This window comes from Homo sapiens, chromosome 15 (genome assembly GCF_000001405.40).
Source record: "Homo sapiens chromosome 15, GRCh38.p14 Primary Assembly".
Classification (NCBI taxonomy): domain Eukaryota; kingdom Metazoa; phylum Chordata; class Mammalia; order Primates; family Hominidae; genus Homo; species Homo sapiens.
The window spans coordinates 35,259,724-35,284,102 of NC_000015.10; the positions used below are offsets into that span (position 1 = coordinate 35,259,724).

General features: G+C 39.1%; 1 protein-coding gene and 1 pseudogene across 5 annotated transcripts in view, besides 1 other annotated feature; one reads left to right on the forward strand and one right to left on the reverse strand.

The window, feature by feature from the left end:
* DPH6 (diphthamine biosynthesis 6) overlaps positions 1-24,379 on the reverse strand; it is a 401,189-nt gene that overhangs the window by 114,747 nt on the left and 262,063 nt on the right. The window lies entirely within an intron of this gene.
* Positions 3,939-4,438: an enhancer, noted in NCBI's record as "H3K27ac hESC enhancer chr15:35555863-35556362 (GRCh37/hg19 assembly coordinates)". NCBI's record gives its function as "activates a minimal SCP1, AML or CMV promoter by ChIP-STARR-seq in primed H9 embryonic stem cells {active_cell/tissue: H9 hESC(primed)}" and the evidence as "EXISTENCE:reporter gene assay evidence [ECO:0000049][PMID:30033119]".
* NUTF2P6 (nuclear transport factor 2 pseudogene 6) lies at positions 22,792-23,262 on the forward strand (annotated as a pseudogene).

Sequence of the window (24,379 nt, forward strand, 5' to 3'; positions counted from 1 at the left end):
GAACTGCATGCTTGAGCTCATACAATCTCAGTTTCTCAGTTGCTTTCCTGAAAACTTATTTTACTTTAGTTATGGTCACACAAAGCTTCTTGTCTGGATTTTCTGCCCGTAATATGTTGAACACGACAAATTGGAAAGAAGCAGAGAGGGAGTCACTAGACTCAGCTCATAAATGATACCAAGAAGTGAAAGCAAGTCAAATGGTAGCCAGGGAGGAGACATAAGACCTACATAAAGCAAGTGCAAATGCTCAGAAATCCAAGCTGGAAAAAATAGTCCAATTAACCCCAATAATCTTTGGGATAATTACTATTTTAGAGTAAATAATCAATGTTCATGCCACCATGCATCTTTAAGAACAAATAAAATCTTCAGGAGATTCTTTTATTTTATTTTATTTTTTGAGACAGAGTCTTGCTCTGTCGCCCAGGCTGGAATGCAGTGGCACAATCTCAGCTCATTGCAACCTCCGCCTCCTGGGTTCAAGCAATTCTCTGCCTCAGGCTCCCGAGTAGCTGGGATTACAGGCACCTGCCATCACGCCCAGCTAATTTTTGTATTTTTAGTAGAGACAGGGTTTCACCATGTTGGCCAGGCTGGTCTTGAACTCCTGACCTCGTGATCCACCCACCTCGGCCTCCCAAAGTGTTCGGATTACAGGCGTGAGCCACCGCGCCCAGCCAGGAGATTCTTTTTAAAATTCAGGATAAAGTGAAATATACTTTAGAAGAATTTTATTTAAAATATTTAAATAATGTTAAATTAAATAATTTATTATTTAATAATAAATTAAGTAATATGAAGTTTAATATTATTAGATAATATTAAACTTAAGTAATCTGAAGACTTCATTTATAAAAAAATGTTTTTCCTGTAAATTTAGGATAAATGAAGTGATTCTATGCAGTGATTCCACCTCATTTCAGCACTATTAAAATTCAGATACAAATTTTCATTTATTTTACCTACTTCTTTTTTTTACCTCCTTCCCTATCTCAAGGGGAAAGTTCCTTTACAATTGTGTTATCTTCTGGTCTTATGTTTTAGCCTCTGACCTCAGGCAATCCATTTCAGAAAGCCTCTCAATTCCTTCAAAGTATCCTTTTCTTTGTTTCCAGATGTACTGGGCCTAAGGACATCAATATGATCTGTCTAGGATTCTGGAAAAATTGTCACTTAGTGATATTCATTAATTTTTCTTGAAGAACTCTAAGTCTTTCCATTTATTTTATGTATTCTTCATCACATTTTAACACCTACCCATTCTTATAGTTATTCATGTCTTGACTATTGATTTACATAAGGAAATTCCCGGAAGTCAAAACCCACAATCTATTATATCAGTTCCTGTTGGAATTTATTTCTGCATACCTCAGTCCTTCTTGCCCCATTTCTTTCCCAGATGATTAACTTCGTTCTTTAATGAGATGCCCCAAACACATTCCTTATGCAGTTTCACCAGCTTTTTATAGACAGTTTATCCTTCCTGATGCAGTACAGCAATACAGCGTGCCTCTGAGCACGGTGCCATAATCACACCATTCTCTTTGCTGTCATGCAGAACTGGAAACGTTCAGCTGATCTGAAGTCCAGTATTACCCAGCTTTGTTAGCATTAAGGGTTTTTGTTTTTGTTATTGTTACTTCCTTCTTCCTTCTCTTGAAGATCTTTTTTCTGTGTTTTTTAGTTCAGGTTGAATTTAACTCTTGACTTCTCAAAATTATTTGGCATAAACTTTACATATATGGTAGAAGTGCTTAGGTTAACCAATGTTGATGTCTCATGATGGAGTAGGAATGTAAATCTATAAAGTTAGTTTAAAAAAAAAGGCTGCACATGTGGCTCGTGCCTGTAATCCCAACACTTTGGGAGGCAGAGGCGGGAAGATCGCTTGAGCTCAGGAGTTTGAGACCAGCCTGGGCAATATAGTGGGACCTCATCTCTACCAAAAATTAAAAAGTTATTTGGGTGTGGTGGCGTATGCTTGTAGTCTCAGCTACTTGAGAGGCGAAGGTGGAAGGATGGCTTGAGCCCAGGAGGTCGAGGCTTCAGTAAGCCCTGATCTCACCACTGCACTCCAGCCTGGGCAACAGAGCAAGACCCTCTCTTAAAAAAAAAAAAATGAAACTCTTCCTATGAATTACAAAAAAGAATGGAAATTTTAAGTTAGAGTGGTCCAAAACATAGATTAAAATAGTTTCACCTGAAGCTACAGTAGTAAAGAGAAGTAACTACTACATATATAGCATCTATATTTCAAAGGTGACAGGGGTGGAGACATACAAAAAAGGGTCCTCATGACAACTACTGTGTATGGTCCTTGTACTTTTCTCCGTGTTTACTACTTCGGGAGTTCTGTGCAATACAACCAATGAATGTGTTAGAAAGACTACTCATAATTCAAGATTCTATGAGTCTATTACTTTATATATAGTTATACTTTTTTTCCTATTTCATTAAGGATTTAAATTAAATTTATTACATGGTGGCCTCTAGAGCCCTTCCAGATTTCCCATTTAAAAAGTGGTATCACAATTTTTCAGGAAATCTCCAATGAGCTTAAAAAATAAGATAAACACACTTCATAAAAATTTCTAATTAATTCTAATAATGACTCAGAATACATTTAATTCATATTTACTAATTTGCCATAAGTCTTTAAAAAATGTTTTCTAAGTGATTTTTTTTAAAAAGATACCTTGGCTGGGTGCAGTGGCTCACGCCTGTAATCCCAGCACTTTGGGAGGCCGAGGCAGGGGGATCACCAGGTCAGGAGATGAAGACCATCCTGGCTAACACGGTGAAACCCCGTCTCTACTAAAAATACAAAAAATTAGCTGGGCGTGGTGGCGGGCGCCTGTAGTCCCAGCTACTGGAGAGGCTGAGGCAGGAGAATGGCGTGAACCCGGGAGGCGGAGCTTGCAGTGAGCAGAGATGGTGCCACTGCACTCCAGCCTGCGAAACAGAGCAAGACTCCGTCTCAAAAAAAAAAAAAAAAAAAAAAAAAAAAAAAGATATCTTAATGAATAGCCATTTAGGTAAGATTTTCTTTAGTTCCCAATTTTATGAACATCTCTTTATTTCTTGCCAGACTCTGGGAGAGATCTTTACCAAAGTACCTTCTAGGAGTCAGCTGCTACATTACTCTCATGCTTACATGTCTTAAAGTAGAAAACTAAAGTGAGAGAATCATGCAGAATTTTGCCCTTACAAATAATTAGAAAATTAAACTCAAATAATGAATATGCCTATAAAATATTTAAGTCTGAAGGAATTATAATTTGATGTGGATAATTACATGCTGAAAGTAAGATCTCTATTTGACACCATGAAGAAAAAAATACGTGAAAAGTTTCTAATGAAGAGAAACCTCTCAATGGATTTTAACTTATTACTTCTGATAACTAAGGAAGATATTTTAATCATTAGTTTATCATAGAGCTACTACTACTAATACTCTATTTACATATCACCTTTCTTCCAGAGGTCTCAGACATTTTATAAACATCTCATTAATCTTCACAACCCTCCAGTGAGACTTTATATGGAGAAATAAACAGGTATTAAATTAACTCTAGAAGATTCTTCCATAGTTCCTCTGAACTCATAAGAAGGATAATGCCAAAAAATACTTTACATGGAATATAACAAGAAAACATTTTAACATAATTAATCTTTTTTTTTTTTTTTTTTTTTTTTAGAGACAGGGTCTCACTCTCTCGCCTAGGCTAGAGTGCAGTGGCATGATCATAGCTCACTGCAGTCTAGCCCTGGACTCAAGCGATCCTCCTGCCTCAGCCTCCCAAGCAGCTGGGGCTACAGGCATCCACCACGTCACTTGTCTAACTTTTTATTTTTATTTTTTGTAGAGACAGTCTCACTATATTGCCAAAGATGATCTCAAACTGGGCTCAAGTGATCCTCCGACCTAGGCCTCCCAAATTGTTGGGATTACAGACATGAGCCATTTTGCCTGGCCTCACAGTTTATAATTTCTTTTTTTTTTGAGACAGAGTCTCGCTCTGTCACTCAGGCTGGAGTGCAGTGGAGCGATCTCTGCTCACTCCAAGCTCAGCCTCCCGGGTTCATGCCATTCTCCTGCCTCAGCCTCCTGAGTAGCTGGGACTACAGGCGCCCACCACCACGCCTGGCTAATTTTTTTTGTATTTTTAGTAGAGACGGGGTTTCACCGTGTTAGCCAGGATGGTCTCGATCTCCTGACCTCGTGATCTGCCCACCTCGGCCTCACAAAGTGCTAGGATTACAGGCGTGAGCCACCGCGCCCAACATAGTTTATAATTTTTAAAGGGCCTTTTTTCTAGTCCATGCTGACTTTTCACACAGAAAATTCACTCATATGGATTTAAGCCTTGTTTTTTTTTTTAATTCAAAGATTAAAAAAAAAGGACACAAGTATTTTAAAAAGTACTTCTTAGTTGCCTCCACTCTAGAGCAAGGAGGAAGGAGCACAATCTATCTTGGATGCTTTATTAAAACAAATAATAAAGTTTTATTTGTTTTCTTTAGTACTATCTGCTTATTAGGAATTAGATTCCATCTGACATTTATTTCACCTAAATTTTTCTTTTTTCTACTTGAGGTAATAACAAGAGGCAATGCTACTCTTCCTCTTCATTATTTTCAAAGCTTTTCTCAGAACAGCATTTATAGTCTCTACGCTGATTTACCCAACACTTTAATATCTCTTCTATATTATCCCATAGCCCTGCATAAAGCGTAATGGACTTTCTCTGATTCTTAGACCTCTCTTCTGAAAATACTGGTCTACAAGCACTCTTTGAAAAACAAAAGGCTTACTATTTTTAATTTTAATTGAAGTTAGTAAGGAAATTCCTTAAGTAGCTCTTGTATCTCCCAATCATGTTGGTGAATTTGAGATTCAGTGGGTGGGAGCCCAGCAGCAGTCAGGTGGAATGGCCTTTAAATAAAGTACCAGTTTGGCACAACAAAGCATACCACGCATGTTCATTTGTACATTCATTCATTCATTCATTCAACAAACATTTACTGAGCTAGGTACTGAGAATACAGAGATAAATATGACATAGAACTATAATTGAATTCCCAATGTCAATATTGTGTGCAAGATGTTCTGAGAGAAGAAAGGTAGAGTGCCTAACTCTTTTGGGGGTCAAGGAAGACTTTACTGATGAGACATTTGGCCTCCATAGGCAGATTATGAGCATAACATGAAAAGCAGGGTTTGGAGAGTCTTGTCGAACATTCAGAAGGAACTGACTGAAAGTACATTACACTCCGATGTTCATAATTATTACTGAGAGAAACAGTTATGTCATTCTAGATTGGGCCATGCTGTCTATAGTCCATACAGTGAAAAATAATCCATCTAGAAAAATAACCACACAAGCTAGCGGTCAGAAAACACAAAATAACAGTACTGTGGTTTTACTATAAACATAGTAAAATAACTTCAAATCAAATCTAGAATATAATAAGAATTAAAAAAGATATTCAATCTTAAAATGCTTTGAAAGGAAAAAAAAGGACAGTATAAGTGTAAGAAACCATTATTATGAAAAAGAAGTAAACTTTCAGCCCGGCCACAAAAAGCCAAAATACTTCCTTTTGATAACCCCTAAATTACATTTTTCAGAATGTCTTTTTCTCTTGAAGGCATCCACAATATTCCACATGATGTCTAAGTGTAGCCAGACTGAACTGACATTCTTTAGGCATTTCTTCAAAGAAAGGAATAAGATTTGACAGATTCCTTTGCACAGGGGGAAAAGGCATAGAAGGACAAGGTCTGGTGTGAATCTTAACACTGCTCTCTCCATCTGCAAGAGTCCTCCTCTGCTACACTGTAATAATAGCTTCTGAAGGTGTTAGCACCCAGCAAGACATTTCTCTGCCTTTAAAAAAAATTCCGTAGCTTTTATTTTGGGATTTGAAACTAATCTATTGTGTTTAAAAACACAGTCACTAATCCCCATAATATTTTACAGTTTAGTTTAGAAATACAAATTTTCACCACTTGACAGGTAAAATATGAAACCAATGCAAAAAACATGTTTTAAAAAGTAAATTGACAAGTTAAAAAAAGTCTTTCTTTTATATCGCTGTCATATGATAGTCATGGCGTAGCAGTATTGTGAAGTAACATTATAGTGTCACTGATTCAATGTAACAAAACACCTAAATTGCTTTGTTGATATTGAAGTTTGTAGAGGGCTACTTCTACAAACAATTTAGTTTAGTTTTAACTGGTTGAATCTGAATACAAGTTCTCCAGGACACATGTTCTTACATGTGTCCTTTACAAAATGTTCTTTTACAAAAATATGTTTTTGTAAAAGTATGTGTAATCTAAAAACATATAGGCCAAAAGTAATTTCTACCTAAGAAGTAATCAGAAGGGACTTAATTATATCATTCCCAGGGCACAGGCTGCTATTCAGTAATGCTTCGTATTGTAACAGCAAACTTACAGGAGTAGCCAGTGGAGATGCTTATCATGTACTGTGAACCATGACATTCCAAATATGATGCTTATCAGTCTATCAAAGTTTGAAGTAGACAGCGTATGAAAGAGGCAATCATATATGGTATATATAAACAGGAGGGCTATTATAGCAGGAGGGGAAAGGAAAGCATGATCAGGTTAAGTATTCAATTAGCTTAATTGGCTTTTATTGGCTTTGTAGGTAGGCTAATAAAAAGTCAGCTAAGATATATAATATATGGCTACAGATTGTTAATCTCTGGCAAATCAGGGACTAAACTTTCAATTTATTTTAGTTCTGAACTAGTTAGAGTTTGCACTGTCAAGCAACTAACATAAATTTAATATTGTAGCAGTCAGAATCTGTTCTGATTGGCCAGTGCTAGTTCGATAATGCCTGTTAAGTATTTTGAATATTACTCCTGGTTGGTATCAAATGTCTAAAGGAGGTAGAACAGGCTATATACTTCCATTATGATTTTATTTTAACAGTACCACATAGACATAACTTAAGAATCAAAAGGTAATTATTTAATCAACCAATAATCAGTAATAATTGTTTTCTATTGTCTTTGTAGCTCTGTGTTTCTACAATACAATAGGTACTATGCTAGGAGCTTTACTTGAAAGAAAAGAAAGACATGGTTCATGCATTCAAGGAGTTTACATACATATATACTATAATACATAACATTAATACAGAAATAAAATGATTAGTGGACAACTAAGTGCAAAACTGAGTAAAATAATAATAAAATTCATAGAAATTTGGAGGCATTTATAATCACTGTGGGCAGCAATAGTAGAGTTCAATGAGGAGGCCAGTCATAAACTGGTCTTGAAAGGATACAAGGATCTGGATATATGAAGGATAGGATAAATAAAATATATAATCCAAGAAGTGGAAATGTGCATGGACAGTATAAAGTGCAGTAAAAAAAACAAAACTGAGAGCAATGAAAAATAAGGCTGCCAAGGGCTTGCTTCCAAAGAGCCTTGTAAACTGTTGTGAGTGGGCAGGGAGGAGCTGCTGATCAGATTGGGTGAGATGCCTTGATCTGTACTGGACCATTTTTACTTATGTGTGCCAAAAGGTCACACACAAGGATGAATGCTCTTTGCTTCTTCTCTTCTACCACTGAAACTAGATCTGCAGCAGGACTGAGGCCTTCTTGGTTCAGCTAGCTCTCCTCTGCTGCTGATGCTATTTTTTCACCTATCAGGCAAAGGGATACACTTTTTTCAAGGCAGGCCCTTATTCCTACTTCCTTACTGCCTGTCTCTTGGTCTCTCTATCTTCCCCAATCCTAAGAGCTCTTAGCTTCCGGGGAATTCTAATTATCTCATGCTTGATGATTTGTTTGTGGCAATATCTGGCTTTTGGAGATGGAGAAGCTATGTTTAGGCCTAAACTTCTAATTGTTCATCAGTTTTCGAGAATAGCCTGATGGTTTCAGACACCTTGTTAATGTTACATACAACTCATCTTTATTCATTTGCCATCCCTTTTTGTGTATTTATCTCCCTTTGGAGCCTCATGAGATTTATAGTAGAGGAAGGTATGAGGACTCTTGGGTTTCTTAGTCCAGTGCTCAAATAGGATCCTAGTGCTACCAATATAACCTAATGGAAGCAAAGCAAAACTGTTTGAATTTGGTGTGTAGTATACAAAAGAAAACTAGGCCAGGCGCGGTGGCTCACGTCTGTAATCCCAGCACTTTGGGAGGCCGAGGCCGGCAGATCATGAGGTCAGGAGATCAAGACCATCCTGGCTAACATGGTGAAACCCTGTCTCTACTAAAAATACAAAATATTAGCCGGGCGTGGTGGCAGGCGCCTGTAGTCCCTGCTACTCGGGAGGCTGAGGCAGGAGAATGGTGTGAACCTGGGAGGCAGAGCTTGCAGTGAGCCGAGATTGTGCCACTGCACTCCAGCCTGGGCGACAGAGCGAGACTCTGTCTCAAAAAATAAATAAATAAATAAATAAATAAATAAATAAATAAATAAATAAAAGAAAACTGAAGGAGTTTGAGCAAGAGTGTATCATTAATAAAATAAAATGGTGTAGCCATATTTGCAGCAAGAAGTAGGAAGGTGGAAGATTGAAGCTAGATAGAACAGACAGGCAACTGCAGTAGTGCAGATATAATGTGGTAAGAATAGCAATGGTAGGAATGAAGGTGAAAATACAGGTCTGAGAGATATTATTAAGGAAAGAATGGGTGACATATTCAATGCAGAGATGATGACAAAATATTCAAAAGTGACTTGAGGTCTCCTATTTTGGGAGCCTGTAAGATTTGTGAGTTTGCAGCTCTAAAAAAAAAAACAATGGGAAAGAGGAGTCTTTTTCTTCTGCTGCTTTAAAAAAATTTTTTTAGGGGAAAGCAGAAAAAACTTAGTGAGGGTGAGGTGGTTACAGTATATCTTCTAATACTATATATTTTTGAAAACATAAGATTAAAAGGAAGTTAAACATGAAGTCATGTTACAGAACCTTAGGGACAGATGGGCCAATTAATTGAAGGTATAAAAAATGGAAAAAAAAAAAAGGTATAAAAAGAACAAAGGACCAGGAATTGGGCTTTGTAGAATTAACTACTGTGAGGGCACATGAGGAGGAAAATCAGATAGGAAAAACAAGGCTGGCAAGGTAGGAAGAGGGCAGGAAAGACCATTAGGCAGAGGAGAATCAAATATAATTAAAATAAAGAATATTAAATAGCTTTCATGTAAAATAATGCCAAGATGAATGTTTCCAACATGAAAATCACCTTTTTAATTATGTAAGTCTCTGAGAAAATAATTATATTGATTGACAGCTCATTTACAATAACTCCCCAATATCAATCCCCAAGTCTTCTGCTGCTATTCAGACTTATCCCCTGATATCCTATAAAAATAGAAAACATATTATGAGGACTACCTAAATAAATTATTTCATATGTTGGAAGACTATTAGTTCTTCTCAAAGTTATTCCTTCCTAAGTTAAATCATTCCAATTCCTTAAAATGTAAAATGTATATTCCTTTTTTTCTTCTTCACTGTTTTCTTATGAACATTCCTAAATTTAGTAGTTATTGCTTGCTCTTAGGACAAACTATCTGATTATATGGTCTGATTAAATCTCTCTAAGAGTAAGGAGAACTCAATGCAACCCCAGAAATCCTTGAACAAAATGAGATGTTTAGACTTATTTAGGGCTTTTAGTCAGTAAGGATAAACCTATTTCCGTGAATTTTAGGACTTCATTTTATTTTTAATTTTTTTATTTTTATTTTTTTTGAGACGGAGTCACCCAGGCTGGAAGCTCTGCCTCCCGGGGTCACGCCATTCTCCTGCCTCAGCCTCCCGAGTAGCTGGGACTACAGGCGCCCGCCAACACGCCCGGCTAATTTTTTTTGTACTTTTAGTAGAGACGGGGTTTCACCATGTTAGCCAGGATGGTCTCGATCTCCTGACCTCGTGATCCGCCCGCCTCGGCCTCCCAAAGTGCTGGGATTACAGGCGCAGCCACCGCGCCCGGCCAGGACTTCATTTTATGTATTCTTTATTTCTTTCACATTGTTAAGGGTGTGTTTCTTTTTTTTTTTTTTTTTTGAGACGGAGTCTTGCTCTGTCACCCAGGCTGGAGTGCAGTGGCACAATCTTGGCTCACTGCAAGCTCCACCTCCTGGGTTCACGCCATTCTCCTGCCTCAGCCTCCCGAGTAGCTGGGACTACAGGCACCTGCCACCACGCCCAGCTAATCTTTTTTGTATTTCTAGTAGAGATGGGGTTTCACCATGTTAGCCAGGATGGTCTCGATCTCCGATCTCCTGACCTCGTGATCCGCCCGCCTCGGCCTCCCAAAGTGCTGGGATTACAGGCGTGAGCCACCGCGCCCGGCCTTGTTAAGGGTGTGTTTCTAAACTCTGAACATTAACTGAAATGTAAGATGCAATCCACTGAGTTGAACTATTGTCTGTTAGCAACCAAAAGAATGGTATCTATTGGCACCAATTAGGAAAATAAGAAATAAAAAAGAAGAAGAAAGAAAGGAAATAAAAGATTACTTGCTATAGTCTTTAGTCCATGTTGCATTGAAGTGGAAAATCATTTTCAGAGAAACAATATTATGAATGGAGTGCATCGGTTCTGCTGATCTTGTCAGCTATTTTGTTATCTGTATTGTAAGTTAAAGGTGAGATAATTTTGATGGTAAATAGAACCATCTGGGCTTTGGTTCTCAAATTTTGAATAGAAGTAGGTAGGATCTAAGGTTATACATTTTTTCTAGCCTTCATGAATTGTGCCTCAAGTAGTAATCTGATAATGCAGTTACAGTGATTTTTCCGTAGTTATTTCTACAGTTTTTGGACTTGGTTAATGCATTTGGTCCACAATAGTGGAGGCTGTGTCTAGTTTACTTCTTTAAGGGCACCTAGAAAAAACCTAAGTTATTTCCCTAATACACTCTAATATCTTGAAATACTAAATATTCCTTTGAAATGCTCTTGTGTTTGTAGGGAATGACAACTTCCTAGAAGGATCTAGTCCACTACATATTTTTATTACGGTTACATTCTCCTAATAAGGAAATGAGAAGAAAGCCAATTGTTGAGCTTCTAACACAGACAAGATACTTAAATACATTTTTATTTAAATCTCATAGCAGTTTTACGATGTAAAGATCCTTTGATCCTTTTCATTTTATAGCTCAGTACACAGACACAGAGAAGTTCAGTAACTTGCCAAAGGTCACAAAGCTTGTAAACTGATAGAAATGGGAGCTGAAGCGAAGACCATCTACCTACAAACTGCATGTTTTTAGTTATTGGTCTAATCAGATAGAGAGGATTTAGAATTGAGGTAGGGTATAAATACGTCCAGGAAACCACTGACAGCCAAACATAAGGCTTCCCTACAAAAGGATTAGTTCAGCCAAACTTCTTTCACAGTGTGTAACTAACACTTATCCCAAAAAGCTGCCATGCTGCCCAAACCTCTGACAGTTCCCATAGGAAAAGAAGGGTTAAATAAAAGGTCAATGGAGTTAAACAAACAAACAAACACACAAACAGGCATTATTCACCCTTTCTGGCTTTCATCAACCCCACCCCCTACCCCCAATTGGGTAGCTTTCATTTCATAACTTGAAGAAAAGGGATATGAAAATATATTCTTTGCAAACATTTCCTCAGGGCAAGAAGAAGAAAAAAACATTTGATAAAAAACACCCATATCAATTAAAGTTGTTTCAAAGGAAAGCATCTGAATCGAGGTGCCATCTCAGGGGAGAATAACAGGATAACAAGACCAGTAAGCACCAATAGAGCATGACTCATCCATTTTGCCAGTTACAGTTACACATATAGAGTAGAGGCAGTTGGAGTAATACATAGTGACCACTCAAGTATTCACTTCTTCAATCAATATTGTCAGGCACTATGCAGGGCAAAGCTGACCCACGATGGTGGTAGAATTCTCTGTCCCAGACATACAGGATGGGGATTGAGAATTGAAACATGGAATCTCTGGGGCTGAGGGCTGGGGATGTTTCTCCCATGGACTTAAGAATCAGAGAAAGCTACGCTGCGAGGTAGAGCAAACACCTAGATAGAAACAGAGATGACAGAAGGGAGTCCTGTTGGCTTCAGCAGGGCAGTTTAGCTCAGTGTTCAAGGGCATGAACTCTATAACCACACAGCTGTGTTTAAACTTGGCTTCATCATTTATAAACTATGTAACCTCAGACAAGTTACTTACTTCATGTTTTCTTTGTTTTCCTTATTTATGAAATGGTGGTAAAATACTATCTATTTTATAGGGTGTTTGTGAACATTAAAGACAATGCAGTTCACCTTCTGTATCCATGGATTCTGCTTCTGTGGATTCAACCAACCACAGATCAAAAATATTTTAAAAAATCAATAAAAATAACAATACAATAAAAAAACACAAAAAACCAATAGAGTATAACAAATATTTATATAGCATTTACACTGTATTAGATATTATAATTAATCTAGAGATGATTTAAAGTATACAAGAGGATGTATATAGGTTATGTGCAGACACTATGGCCATTTAATATAAGGCACTTGAGTATCTGTGAATATTGGTGTCCATAGGGGTCCTGTAAGTTTTCCCCCATGGAAACTAAGGAAAGACTTTATATCCAAAGTGCTTATAATAAGGGCTAACATCTAGGAAGCATGATGTTATGGACTGAATTATGTCCTTGCTGATATTGTTTGGATGTTTGTGCCTTGAAATCTCATGTTGAAATGTAATCCCCAGTGTTCCAGGTAGGGCCAAACACCCATGGTGTTTGGGTCATGGGGGTGGATCCCTCATGAATAGCTTGGAACCTCACAATAATAAGTAACTTCTTGCTCTGAGTTCCTGTGAGATCTGATTGTTTAAAAGAATGTGGGGCCAGGCATGGTGGCTCACACCTGTAATCCTAGCACTTTGGGAGGCCGAGGCAGGTGGATCACCTGAGGTTAGGAGTTCAAGACCAGCCTGGCCAACATGGTGAAACCCATCTCTACCAAAAATAGAAAAATTAGCTGAGCATGGTGGCGCATGCCTTAATTCCAGCTACTCTGGAGGCTGAGGCAGGAGAATCGCTTGAACCCGGGAGGCAGAGGTTGCAGTGAGCCGAGATCGCACCACTGCACTCCAGCCTGGGCAACAGAGCGAGACCCCATCTAAAAAAAAAAAAACAAACCAAAAAGAATGTGACACCCCACCCTCATGGCTCCCTCTCTTGCTCCCATGTGATATACCAGCCCCCCTTTGCCTTTTCACCATGACTGTAAGCTTCCTGAGGACTATCACAAGCTGAGCAGATGTCAGCACCATGCTTCCTGTACAGTCTGCAGAACCAAGAGCCAATTAAACCTCTTTTCTTCATAAATTACACAGCCTAAGGTATTTCTTTAAAATTAAAAAAAAAAAATTTAATTTCCATAGGTTACTGGGGAACAGGTGGTGTCTGGTTACATGAGTAAGTTCTTTTGTGGTGATTTGTGAGATTTTTGTGCACCCATCACCCGACCAGTATATACAGCACCCAATTTGTAGTCTTTTATCCTTCACCCCCTTCTCACGCTTTCCTGAGTCCCTCACCCTTTCCCCAAAAGTCCATTGTATCATTCTTACGCCTTTGCATCCTCATAGCTTAGCTTCCACTTATCAGTGAGAAAATACGATGTTTGGTTTTCCATTCCTGAGTTACTTCACTTAGAATAAAGTCAAATTGTCTGTTTGCGGACTACATGGTTGTATATATTAGAAAACCCAATTATCTCAGCCCCCAAACTCAGTGCAGTTGATAAGAAGCTGATAAGCAACTTCAGCAAAGTCTCAGGATACAAAATCAATGTGCAAAAATCACAAGCATTCCTATACACCAACAACAGACAGAGAGCCAAATCCTGAGTGAACTCCCATTCACAATTGCTACAAAGAGAATGAAATACCCAGGAATACAACTTACAAGGGATGTGAAGGACCTCTTCAAGGATAACTACAAACCACTGCTCAAGGAAATAAGAGAGGACACAAACAAATGGAAAAACATTCCATGCTCATGGATAGGAAGAATCAATATCATGAAAATGGCCTTACTGCCTAAAGTAATTTATAGATTCAGTGCTACTCCCATCAAGCTACCAGTGACTTTCTTTGCAGAAGTAGAAAAAAACTACTTTAAATTTCATATGGAACCAAAAAAGAGTCCGTATAGCCAAGACAATCCTAAGCAAAAAGAACAAAGCTGGAGGGATCCTACCTGACTTCAAACTATACTATAAGGCTTCAGTAACCAAAACAGCACAGTACTGGTACCAAAACAGATATATAGACCAATGGAACCGAATAGAGACCTCAGAAATAACACCACATGTCTACAACCATCTGATCTTCAACTAACCTGACAAAAACAAGCAATGGAGAAAGGATTTCCTATTTAATGAATGGTGCTGGGAAAACTGGCTAGCCAGATGCAGAAAACAGAAACTGGACCCCTTCCTTATACCTTATACAAAAATTAACTCAAGATGGATTAAAGACTTAAGTGTAAAACCCAAAACCATAAAACCCTGGAAGAAAACCTAGCCAATACCATTCAGGACATAGGCACGGGCAAAGACTTCATAACTAAAAAGCAATTGCAACAAAAACCAAAATTGACAAATGGGATCTAATCAAACTAAAGCGCTTCTGCACAGCAAAAGAAACTATCATCAGAGTGAACAGGCAACCTAAAGAATGGCAGAAAATTTTTGCAATCTATCCATCTGACAAAGGGCTAATATCCAGAAACTACAAGGAACTTAAACAAATTTACAAGAAAAAAAAAACCCAATCAAAAAGTGGGCACAGGATATGAACAGACACTTCTCAAAAGAAGACATTTATGCAGCCAACAAACATATGAAAGAAAGCTCATCATCATTGGTCATCAGAGAAATGCAAATCAAAACCACAATGAGATACCATCTCACGCCAGTTAGAATGGTGATTATTAACAAGTCAGGAAACAACAGATACTGGCGAGGCTGTGGAGAAATAGGAATGCTTTTACACTGTTGGTGGGAGTGTAAATTATTTAAACCGTTGTGGATGACAGTGCGGCGATTCCTCAAGGATCTAGAACCAGAAATACCATTTGACCCAGCAATCCCATTATTGGGTATATACCCAAAGAACTATAAATCATTCTTTTTTTTTTTTGAGACGGAGTCTGGCTCTGTCCCCCAGTCTGGAGTGCAGTGGCGCAATCTCGGCTCACTGCAAGCTCTGCCTCCCGGGTTCACGCCATTCTCCTGCCTCAGCCTCCTGAGTAGCTGGGACTACAGGTGCCCGCCACCACGCCTGGCTAATTTTTTTGTATTTTTAGTAGAGACAGGGTTTCGCCATGTTGGCCAGGATGGTCTCGAACTCCTGACCTCATGATCTGCCCACCCCAGCCTCCCAAAGTGCTGGGATTACAGGCTTGAGCCACCGCGCCTGGCTGATTATAAATCATTCTACTATAAAGACACATGCACATGTATGTTTATTGCAGCACTATTTACAATAGCAAAGACTTGGAACCAACCCAAATGCCCATCAATGGTAGACTGGATAAAGAAAATGTGGCACATATACACCATGGAATACTATGCAGCCATAAAAAAGAATAAGCTCATGTCCTTTGCAGGAACATGGATGACACTGGAAGCCATAATTCTCAGCAAACTAACACAGGAACAGAAAACCATACACCACGTTTTTTCACACATAAGTGGGAGCTGAGCAATGAGAACACATGGACACAGGGAGGAGAATATCACACACTGGGGCCTGTCAGGGGGTGGGGAGCAAGGAGAGGGAGACCATTAGGACAAATACCTAATGCATGCAGGACTTAAAACCTAGATGATGGGTTGATAGATGCAGCAAACCACCATGGAACATGTATACCTATGTAACAAACTTGCACATTCTGCACATGTATCTCAGACCTTAAAGTAAAAAAAAAAAAAAATAATAATATTAGTCTTCAATCTCATCCAGGTGACTGCAAATGTCATTACTTCATTTCTTTTTATGGTTGAGTTGTATTCCATCATAGATATATACCACAGTTTCTTTATCCACTTGTTGATTGATGGCCATTGGATTAGTTTCACATTTTTGCAATTGTGAATTGTGCTGCTGTAAACTTGCGTGTACAAGTATCTTTTTTGAATAATGGCTTCTTTTCCTCTGGGTAGATACACAGTAGTGGGACTGCTGGATCAAATGGTAGTTCTACTTTTAGTTCTTTAAGGAATCTCCACACTGTTTTCCATAGTGGTTTTACTAGTTTACATTCCTATCAGCAATGTAGAAGTGTTTCCTGTTCACCACATCCATGCCAGCATCTATTATTTTTCTATTTTTAAGTATGTCCATTCTTGTAGGACTAAGGTGGTTTTGATTTGCATCTCCCAGATCATTAGTGATGTTGAGCATTTTTTCGTATGTTTGTTGGCCATTTGTATATCTTCTTTTGAGAACTGTCTATTCATGTCCTTAGCCTACTTTTGATGGGATTGTTTGTTTTTTCTTATTAATTTGTTTGAGTTCATTGTAGATTCTGGATATTAGTCCTTTGTCAGATGTATAGATTGTGAAGATTTTCTCCCACTCTGTGGGTTGTCTGTTTACTCTGCTGACTGTTCCTTTTGCCATGCAAAAGATCTTTAGTTTATTTAAGTCCCAGCTATTCATCTTTGTTTTTATTGCATTTGCTTTTGGGTACTTGGTCAAAAAATCCTTGCCTAAGCCAATGTCTAGAAGGGTTTTTCTGATATTGTCTTCTAGAATTTTTATAGTTTCAAGTCTTAGATTTAAGTCCTTGATCCATATTGTGTTGATTTTTGTATAAGGTGAAAGATGAGGATCCAGTTTCATTATTCTACATGTGGCTAGTCAATTATCCCAGCACAATTTGTTGAATAGGGTGTCTTTTCCCCACTTTATGTTTCTGTTTGCTTTGTGAAAGATCATTTGGCTGTACTTGGATTTATTTCTGGGTTCTCTATTCTGTTCCATTGGTCTATGTGCCTATTTTTATACAGTACCATGCTGTTTTGGTGAGTATGGCCTTATAGTGTAGTTTGAAATCAGGTAATGTGATGCCTCCAGATTTGTTCTTTTTGTTTAGTCTTGCTTTGGATATGTGGGCTCTTTTTTGGTTCCATATGAATTTTAGGATTTTTTTTCTGATTCTGTGAAGAAAGATGATGATATTTTGATAGGGATTACACTGAATTTGTAGATTGCTTTTGGCAGTATGGCCATTTTCACAATATTGATTCTACCCATCCATGAGCATGGAACGTGTTTCTATTTGTTTGTGTCATCTATGATTTCTTTCAGCAGTGTTTTGTAGTTTTCCTTGCAGAGGTCTTTCACCTCCTTGATTATGTATATTCCTAAGTATTTCTTTTTCAGTTATTGTAAAAGGGGTTGAATTCTTGATTTGATTCTCAGCTTGGTTCCTGTTGGTGTATAGGGGAGGTACTGAATTGTGTACATTAATTTTGTATGTGGAAACTTTGCTGAATTCTTCTATCAGTTCTAGGAGCTTTTTGGAGGAGTCTTTAGGGTTTTCTAGGTATACAATCATATCATCAGCAAACAGTAGCAGTTTGACTTCCTCTTTACTGATTTGGATGCCTTTTATTTCCCCCTCTTGTCTGACTGCTCTCCAGCCTCAGGTATTTCTTTAGAGTAAAGCAAGAACTAATACTGAAAATTGGTACCAGGAGTGGGGTATTATTATAAAGATACCTGAAAATGTGGAAGTGGTTTTGGAACTGGGTAACAGGCAGAAGTTGGAAGAGTCTGGAGGTCTGAGAAGAAGACAGAAAGATGAAGGAAAGTTTCCAACTTCTTAGAAGCTAGTTAAATGGTTATGACCAGAATGTTGATAGAGACATGGACAGTGAAGTCCAAGCTGAAGAGCTCTCAGATGGAAATAAATAAGTTACTGGGAACGCGAGTAAAGGTTATCCATTATGCTGTTGCAAAGAACTTGGCTGCATTGTGTTCATGTCCTAGGAATCTGTGGAAGTTTGAACTTAAGAGTGATGACCTAGGGTATCTGGCAGAAGAAATTTCTAAGCAGCAAAGTGTTCAAGATGTGGCCTGGCTGCTTCTAAGAGCCTATCATCAGATACAGGAGCAAATAAATGACTTAAAGTTGGAATTCATATTTAAAAGGGAAACAGAGCATAAAAGTTTGACAAATTTGCATCCTGGTACATGGTAGAAAAGGAATACAAGCAGATTGTGGAGGAACCACTTGCTAAAGAGACTAGCATGACTAAAAGGGAACCAAATGCTAATATCCGAGACAATGGGAAAAGAGGTCTTGAAGGCATTTCAGAAATCTCTGAGGCAGCCCCTCATATCACAGGCCCAGAAGCCTCGGATGAAAGAATGATTTCAGGGACCACGCCAAGGACACTGCTGCCCTGCTCAGCCTTGGGAGGCTACTCCCTGCAACCAGGCTGCTCCAGCTCCAGATGTGGCTCAAAGGCCCCAGGTACAGCTCTGGCTGCCACTTTGGAGAGTGAGGCCGTAATCCTTGGCAGCTTTCATGTGGCAGTAAGCCTGTGGCTGCACAGAATGCAAGGGTGAAGGAGACTTGGCAGCTTCTGTCTAGATTTCAGATAATGTATGGGAAAGCCTAGGTGCCTGGGCAGAAGCCTGATGCAGGGGTAGAGCCCCCGCAGAGAGGCTCTACTAGTAGGGCAGCACCAAGGGGACGTGTGAGGTTGGAGACCCTATACAGAGTCCCCACCAGGGCACTGCCTAGTGGAGCAGTAAGAAGGGGGCCACTGCCTTCCAGGCCAAAGAATGGTAGAGGCAGCAGCAGCTTGCATCCTCAGTCTGGAGAAGCCACAGGCACTGGACTCTAACCCATCAGAGCAGCCCTGTGGGCTGCATCCAGCAAAGCTATAGAGTTGAGCTGCCTAAGGCCTTAGGAGTCCACCCCTGAATGCAGGACATTAAGTCAAAGGAGATTATTTTGGGCCAGGAGCAGTGGCTCAAGCCCATAATCCCAGCACTTTGGGAGGCCAAGGCAGGCGGATCATGAGATCAGAAAATTGAGACCATCCTGACTAACGTGGTGAAACCCAGTCTCTACTAAAAATACAAAAAATTACGTGGGCGTGGTGGCACATGCCTGTAGTCCCAGCTACTCAGGAGGCTGAGGCAGGAGAATTGCTTGAACCCAGGAGGCGGAGGTTGCAGTGAACTGAGATCACGCCACTGCAATCCAGCCTCAGTGACAGAGTGAGACTCTGTCTCAAAAAAAAAAAAAAAAAAAAATATATATATATATATAATTTTGGAGCTTTAAGATTTAATGACTGCCCTACTGAGTTTCAGACTTGTGTGGGGCCTATTGCCCCTTTTTTTGGGGTGATTTCTCCATTTTGGAATGGGAATGTCTACCCAATAAGTGCACCACCATTGTATCTTGGGAGTAAATAACTTTTTTTAATCTTACAGGCTCATAGGAAAGAACTAATCTCCAGACGAGACTTTGGACTTGGGACTTTTGGTTAATGCTGGAATAAGTTAAGGCTTTGGGGGACTATTGAGATGGGATGATTGTATTCTGCATGTAAGGACATGAGATTTGAGGAACCAGGGGCAGAAGGATATGGTTTGGGAAGTTTGCTCCCTCCAAATGTCAGGTTGAAATGTAATCTCCAGTGTTACAGGAGGGGCCTGGTGGGAGGTGTTTGGGTCATGAGGTCAGATACCTCATTAATAGCTTGGTGCTGTCCTCCCCATAAGTGGGCTCCCACTCTGAGTTAATGCAAGACCTGGTTTAAAAGAGTGTGGCACCTCCTCCACCCCTTGCTTCCTCTCTCACCATAGGATGCACCTGCTCCCCTTTGCCTTTCACCATGATTGTAAGCTTTCTGAGGCCTTACCAGAAGCCAAGCAGATGCCAGCACCGTGCTTCCTGTGCAGCCTGCAGAACTGTGAGCCAATCAAACCTCTTTTCTTTATAAATTACCCAGCTTCAGTTACTTCTTCATAGTGTTGCAAGAACTAACTCCCCACCCCCCAAATTCATATGTTGAAGCCCTAACCCTCAACGTGACTGTATTTGGAGTCAGCTTTTAGAAAGAAATTAAGGTTAAATGAAGTCATAAAGCTAATCCAATAGGACTGATGACCTTATATGAAGAGAATGAGGGAGTAATCTCTTTCCCCACACACATGTACCAGGGAAAGGCCATATGAGGACACAGTGAGAAGACAGAGCCCTCATCAGAAACCAAATTGGCTGGCACCTTGATCTTAGACTTCCCAGCCTCCAGAACTGTGAGAAATAAATTTCTGTCCTTTGAGTCACCCAGTCTATAGTATTTTGTAATGGCAGCCCAAGCAGACTAATACAATAACATAAATCTTTCCTATCATTATTATTCTGATTTTGGTTCCTGGGTCTAGTTCCAATTCATAGTAGCCTTCTGAGGGCTAGACAGTTTCTACTTTGATGTTCTGAAAGATAGCACAGCATCACAATAATACATTTCCTACTGTTGACTTAAACAACATTAGTAGGCTTCTTCAAATGATAACCAGAGAGTCTTAAGCAATAAATAATATTGGAGGTTAGGGTAAAGAAAAATCACTTGTAGCTCATGACTGGGATGAAAGTATCATGGAAGAGAAGTGATTTAAGCTAGAATTTATAAAATGGTTAGCCTTTTAAAAAGTAGAGAGAGAGAATATACTGATAACTGAGACAATAGCATAGAATTATTCATATTGTGCACATGCCAACAGTACACATCAGCCTTAATGATAATAATGCAAATGTGAAATTTGGATTACTCCATATTAGGTTTTCATAGCTACAGAGAACTATTTATCCATTTATCTTAAACATATTAAAGGTGCAAATTTCAAACTTAAATTTCTAGAAGCGTTACTAAAACCTAATGCATTATTAAGTAGGTAAGGTAAAAAAAATTTTCTCTTTTATGTTCATTGAGGATAAAAATCTTATGAAGTCTCTCAATTTTATTCCTAGTTCTCATAACAAAGAATCAGTTTTCAAAAGTTCAAGTTTTCTCAGATATTACAGCAAGTGCATTAGCTCATCTAGATCATTGTTGGACAGACAATTGACTTACTTTTCTATGCTTTCTACTGGTGAATGCTTCAAATATGATATATATATTTTTTGTGACTTTTTAAAATTATTATACTTTAAGTTTTAGGGTACATGTGCACAATGTGCAGGTTAGTTACATATGTATACATGTGCCATGCTGGTGTGCTGCACCCATTAACTTGTCATTTAGCATTAGGTATATCTCCTAATGCTATCTCTCCCCCCTCCCCCCACAAATATGATATTAAAATAGGCAAATAATTGTCTATCTGTCCTTTACTACCACTTCACACACAATTCTGAGTGAACTGTCCTGTAAAAATCAAAAGGTCATGTAAGTCTTGCTCCCTCAAGCAAACTCTTATTTTTAGGAGACCTCAAAGGCAAATTTTATGACTGCTTCCTTTTAAAACTATAAACATAATGAAACCATTCTAAAAATAATTATGGTATATCACCCAAATAGCTCACAAAATTAAAGACCCAAGAGAAACACTGCCTGAAAACTTTAAAACATTGTTATTTAAATACATATTGACATATTTTGACCCAAAATAATTTTTTTAAATTGAGAAAACATATGCTAATAATAATTTTTTTTCATGAAGAAAATGACCAAAAGGAGACATGACTTTTGACCTAAGCAGGAGGCTGGAAGCCAGACAACTCATTTTCTTTTTTATAGCTTTTAACAAAGTCATGACTTCTTAAAATCCATTATTCCATCCAAAACATTGGTCTACTCTTCAGCTATCATCTCTTTTAGCAAGACATTCATGAATTCCCAGGCTGGGGAGAAAAAGGCTCCAGTCATACATTCATTCCTAAAATATTTATTGACTATCATGTATGAGTCAGGCAATGAATCTCTGAGGGCCAATACAGCTTAAGGAAGAATATGTTTGGAGTGACACATTCTAATAGAGATATCTACCGTAGATACCTCAGGTAGCCTACACTAGCCTTTCATTGTCCCCTGGTCAAGACATCTTCCCCTGCAACAAATTGTTTGATTTTTTTGTTTGTTTGCTTATTTTCACTTAAATCAATTTCTTGTATATTGTCTTCAGTTAGTAATAGAACAACTACAGCATTATTCTCACCAAGATGCTTCATAGAATTTAGACAACATAGTATTCAAGAATATAATATTATTCAACTCATTTTATCAGCTATTGCTTCTCCAAGCATATCCCCAACTCTTCCATTCTCTTTTTATATAAAACTAATTTTCTAGTTCGTTGTTTGTTTTTGCTACTCCTTCTACATGATTCAGCTTCTGCAAATAGTTTTTCTTTTTGTTTTTAAATGAGCCTGGATCTTGCTCTGTCACTCAGGCTGAAGTGCAGCAGTGCAATCATAGCTCACTACAGCCTGGAACTCCTGGGCCCAAGCAATCCTCCTGCCTCAGCCTCCCAAGCAGGTGGGACTACAGTTATGTGCTGCTACAACTGGCTAATTTTTTTATTTTTACTTTTCTGTAGAGACAAGGTCTCACTATGCTGCCCAGGCTGGTCTTGAACTCCTGGCCTCAAGCGATCCTCCCACCTTGGCCTCTCAAAGCACTGGGATTACAGGTGTGAGCCACCACACCCAGCAGTTTTCACAAATAGTTTTTGAAGAAGCTCAGTCTTGGCAGACTGTGCTGGGTTGTCATGCTGCCACTGCCACTGTGCCAACCCTTCAGATCTCAATGAGGCTGGGTGATGCTCCAGAATGGGAGATGAGCCAATCTGGGAGCAGATTGGATCCAGCTTCATTCAGCATTACTACCAGTTATTTCATAATGATAAAACCCAACTAGGTGCAATTTACATTGATGTGCCATGCCTTACGTGGGAAGGACAGCAGTTCCAGGGGAAAGCTGCCATTGTGGAGAAGTTGTCTAGTCATCCCTTCCAAAAAATCCAGCACAGCATCACAGCACAGGACCATCAGCCCACGCCAGCTGCATCATCAGCCTGGTTGTGGGCCAGCTTAAGGTGGATGAAGACCCCATCGGGGGGTTCCACCATATAGATGTTCCTGTTGAAGAACATCAACAATACTTGGGTTTGCACCAATGACATGTTCAGGCTTGGCCTGCACATCTTGAGCTGATCTCCTGAATATCATCATCATCTTCTTCTTCTTCCTCTTCCTCTTCTTCCTTCTTCTTCTTCTTCTTCCTTCTTCTTCCTTCTTCTTCTTCCTCTTCTTCTTCTTCCTTCTTTCTTCTTCTTCTCCCTTCTTCTTCTTCTCCTTCTCCTCTTCTCTTCTTCTTCCTCTTCCTCTTTTCCCTCCCCCTCCCCCTCTTCCTCTTCTTTTTCTTCTCTTCTTCTTCTTTCTTCCTCTTCCTCTTCTTTCTTCTTTCTTCCTCTTCCTCCTCCTACTCCTCTTCTTCTTCTTTCTTCCTCTTCCTCTTCTTCTTCCTCCTCCTCCTCCTCTTATTCTTCTTTCTTTTGAGTCAGAGTCTCACTCTGTCACCCAGGCTGGAGTGCAATTCCGGCTCACTGCAAACTCCATCTCCCAGGTTCAAGCAATTCTCCTGCCTCAGGTTCCCGAGCAGCTGGGACCACAGGCGCCCACCACCATGCCCAGCTAACTTTTTGTATTTTTAGCAGAGATGGGGTTTCACCATATTGGCCAGGCTGGTCTCAAACTCCCGTCCTCATGATCCGCCGCTTTGGCCTCCCAAAGTGCTGGGACCACAGGCATGAGCTACCACACCCGGCCCCTGAATAACTTCTTATATGGTTCTTCCCACCCCATCAAACCCAGGGAAGGGTCCTCTAGAATCCTATCACCAACACCAAAATATGTTCAACCTAAAGTAAAAACAATGGCCACCATTTCTAGCAAGAAAGATGGTTTACTTTTTTCATTGGGCACAGATAGTACACACACACACACACACACACACACACACACACACACGGAGTCTTAGACAACTTCTGAATGCCCTGGAAAATGACTTTCGACATCCAATATGTAAGATAAAAGCCATAACAATATAAATTGATGGTGGGGAGAAATGGTTCTCCAAAAATTACACTAGTGATTCTTCTGGGTCTCTTTATCTTTATCTTTGCTGTAGTAATTTGAGATGTTTTATTCTTTCATTAAGCATAAATTTTAAAATCCATTACTTTTAATCCAGTTCGGAGGGGCCAACAGGACAGAACACTATTTCTTTTCAGGACATAGTTCTCTTCTGGTAACAGGGAAGCTTTCCATTTCAAGT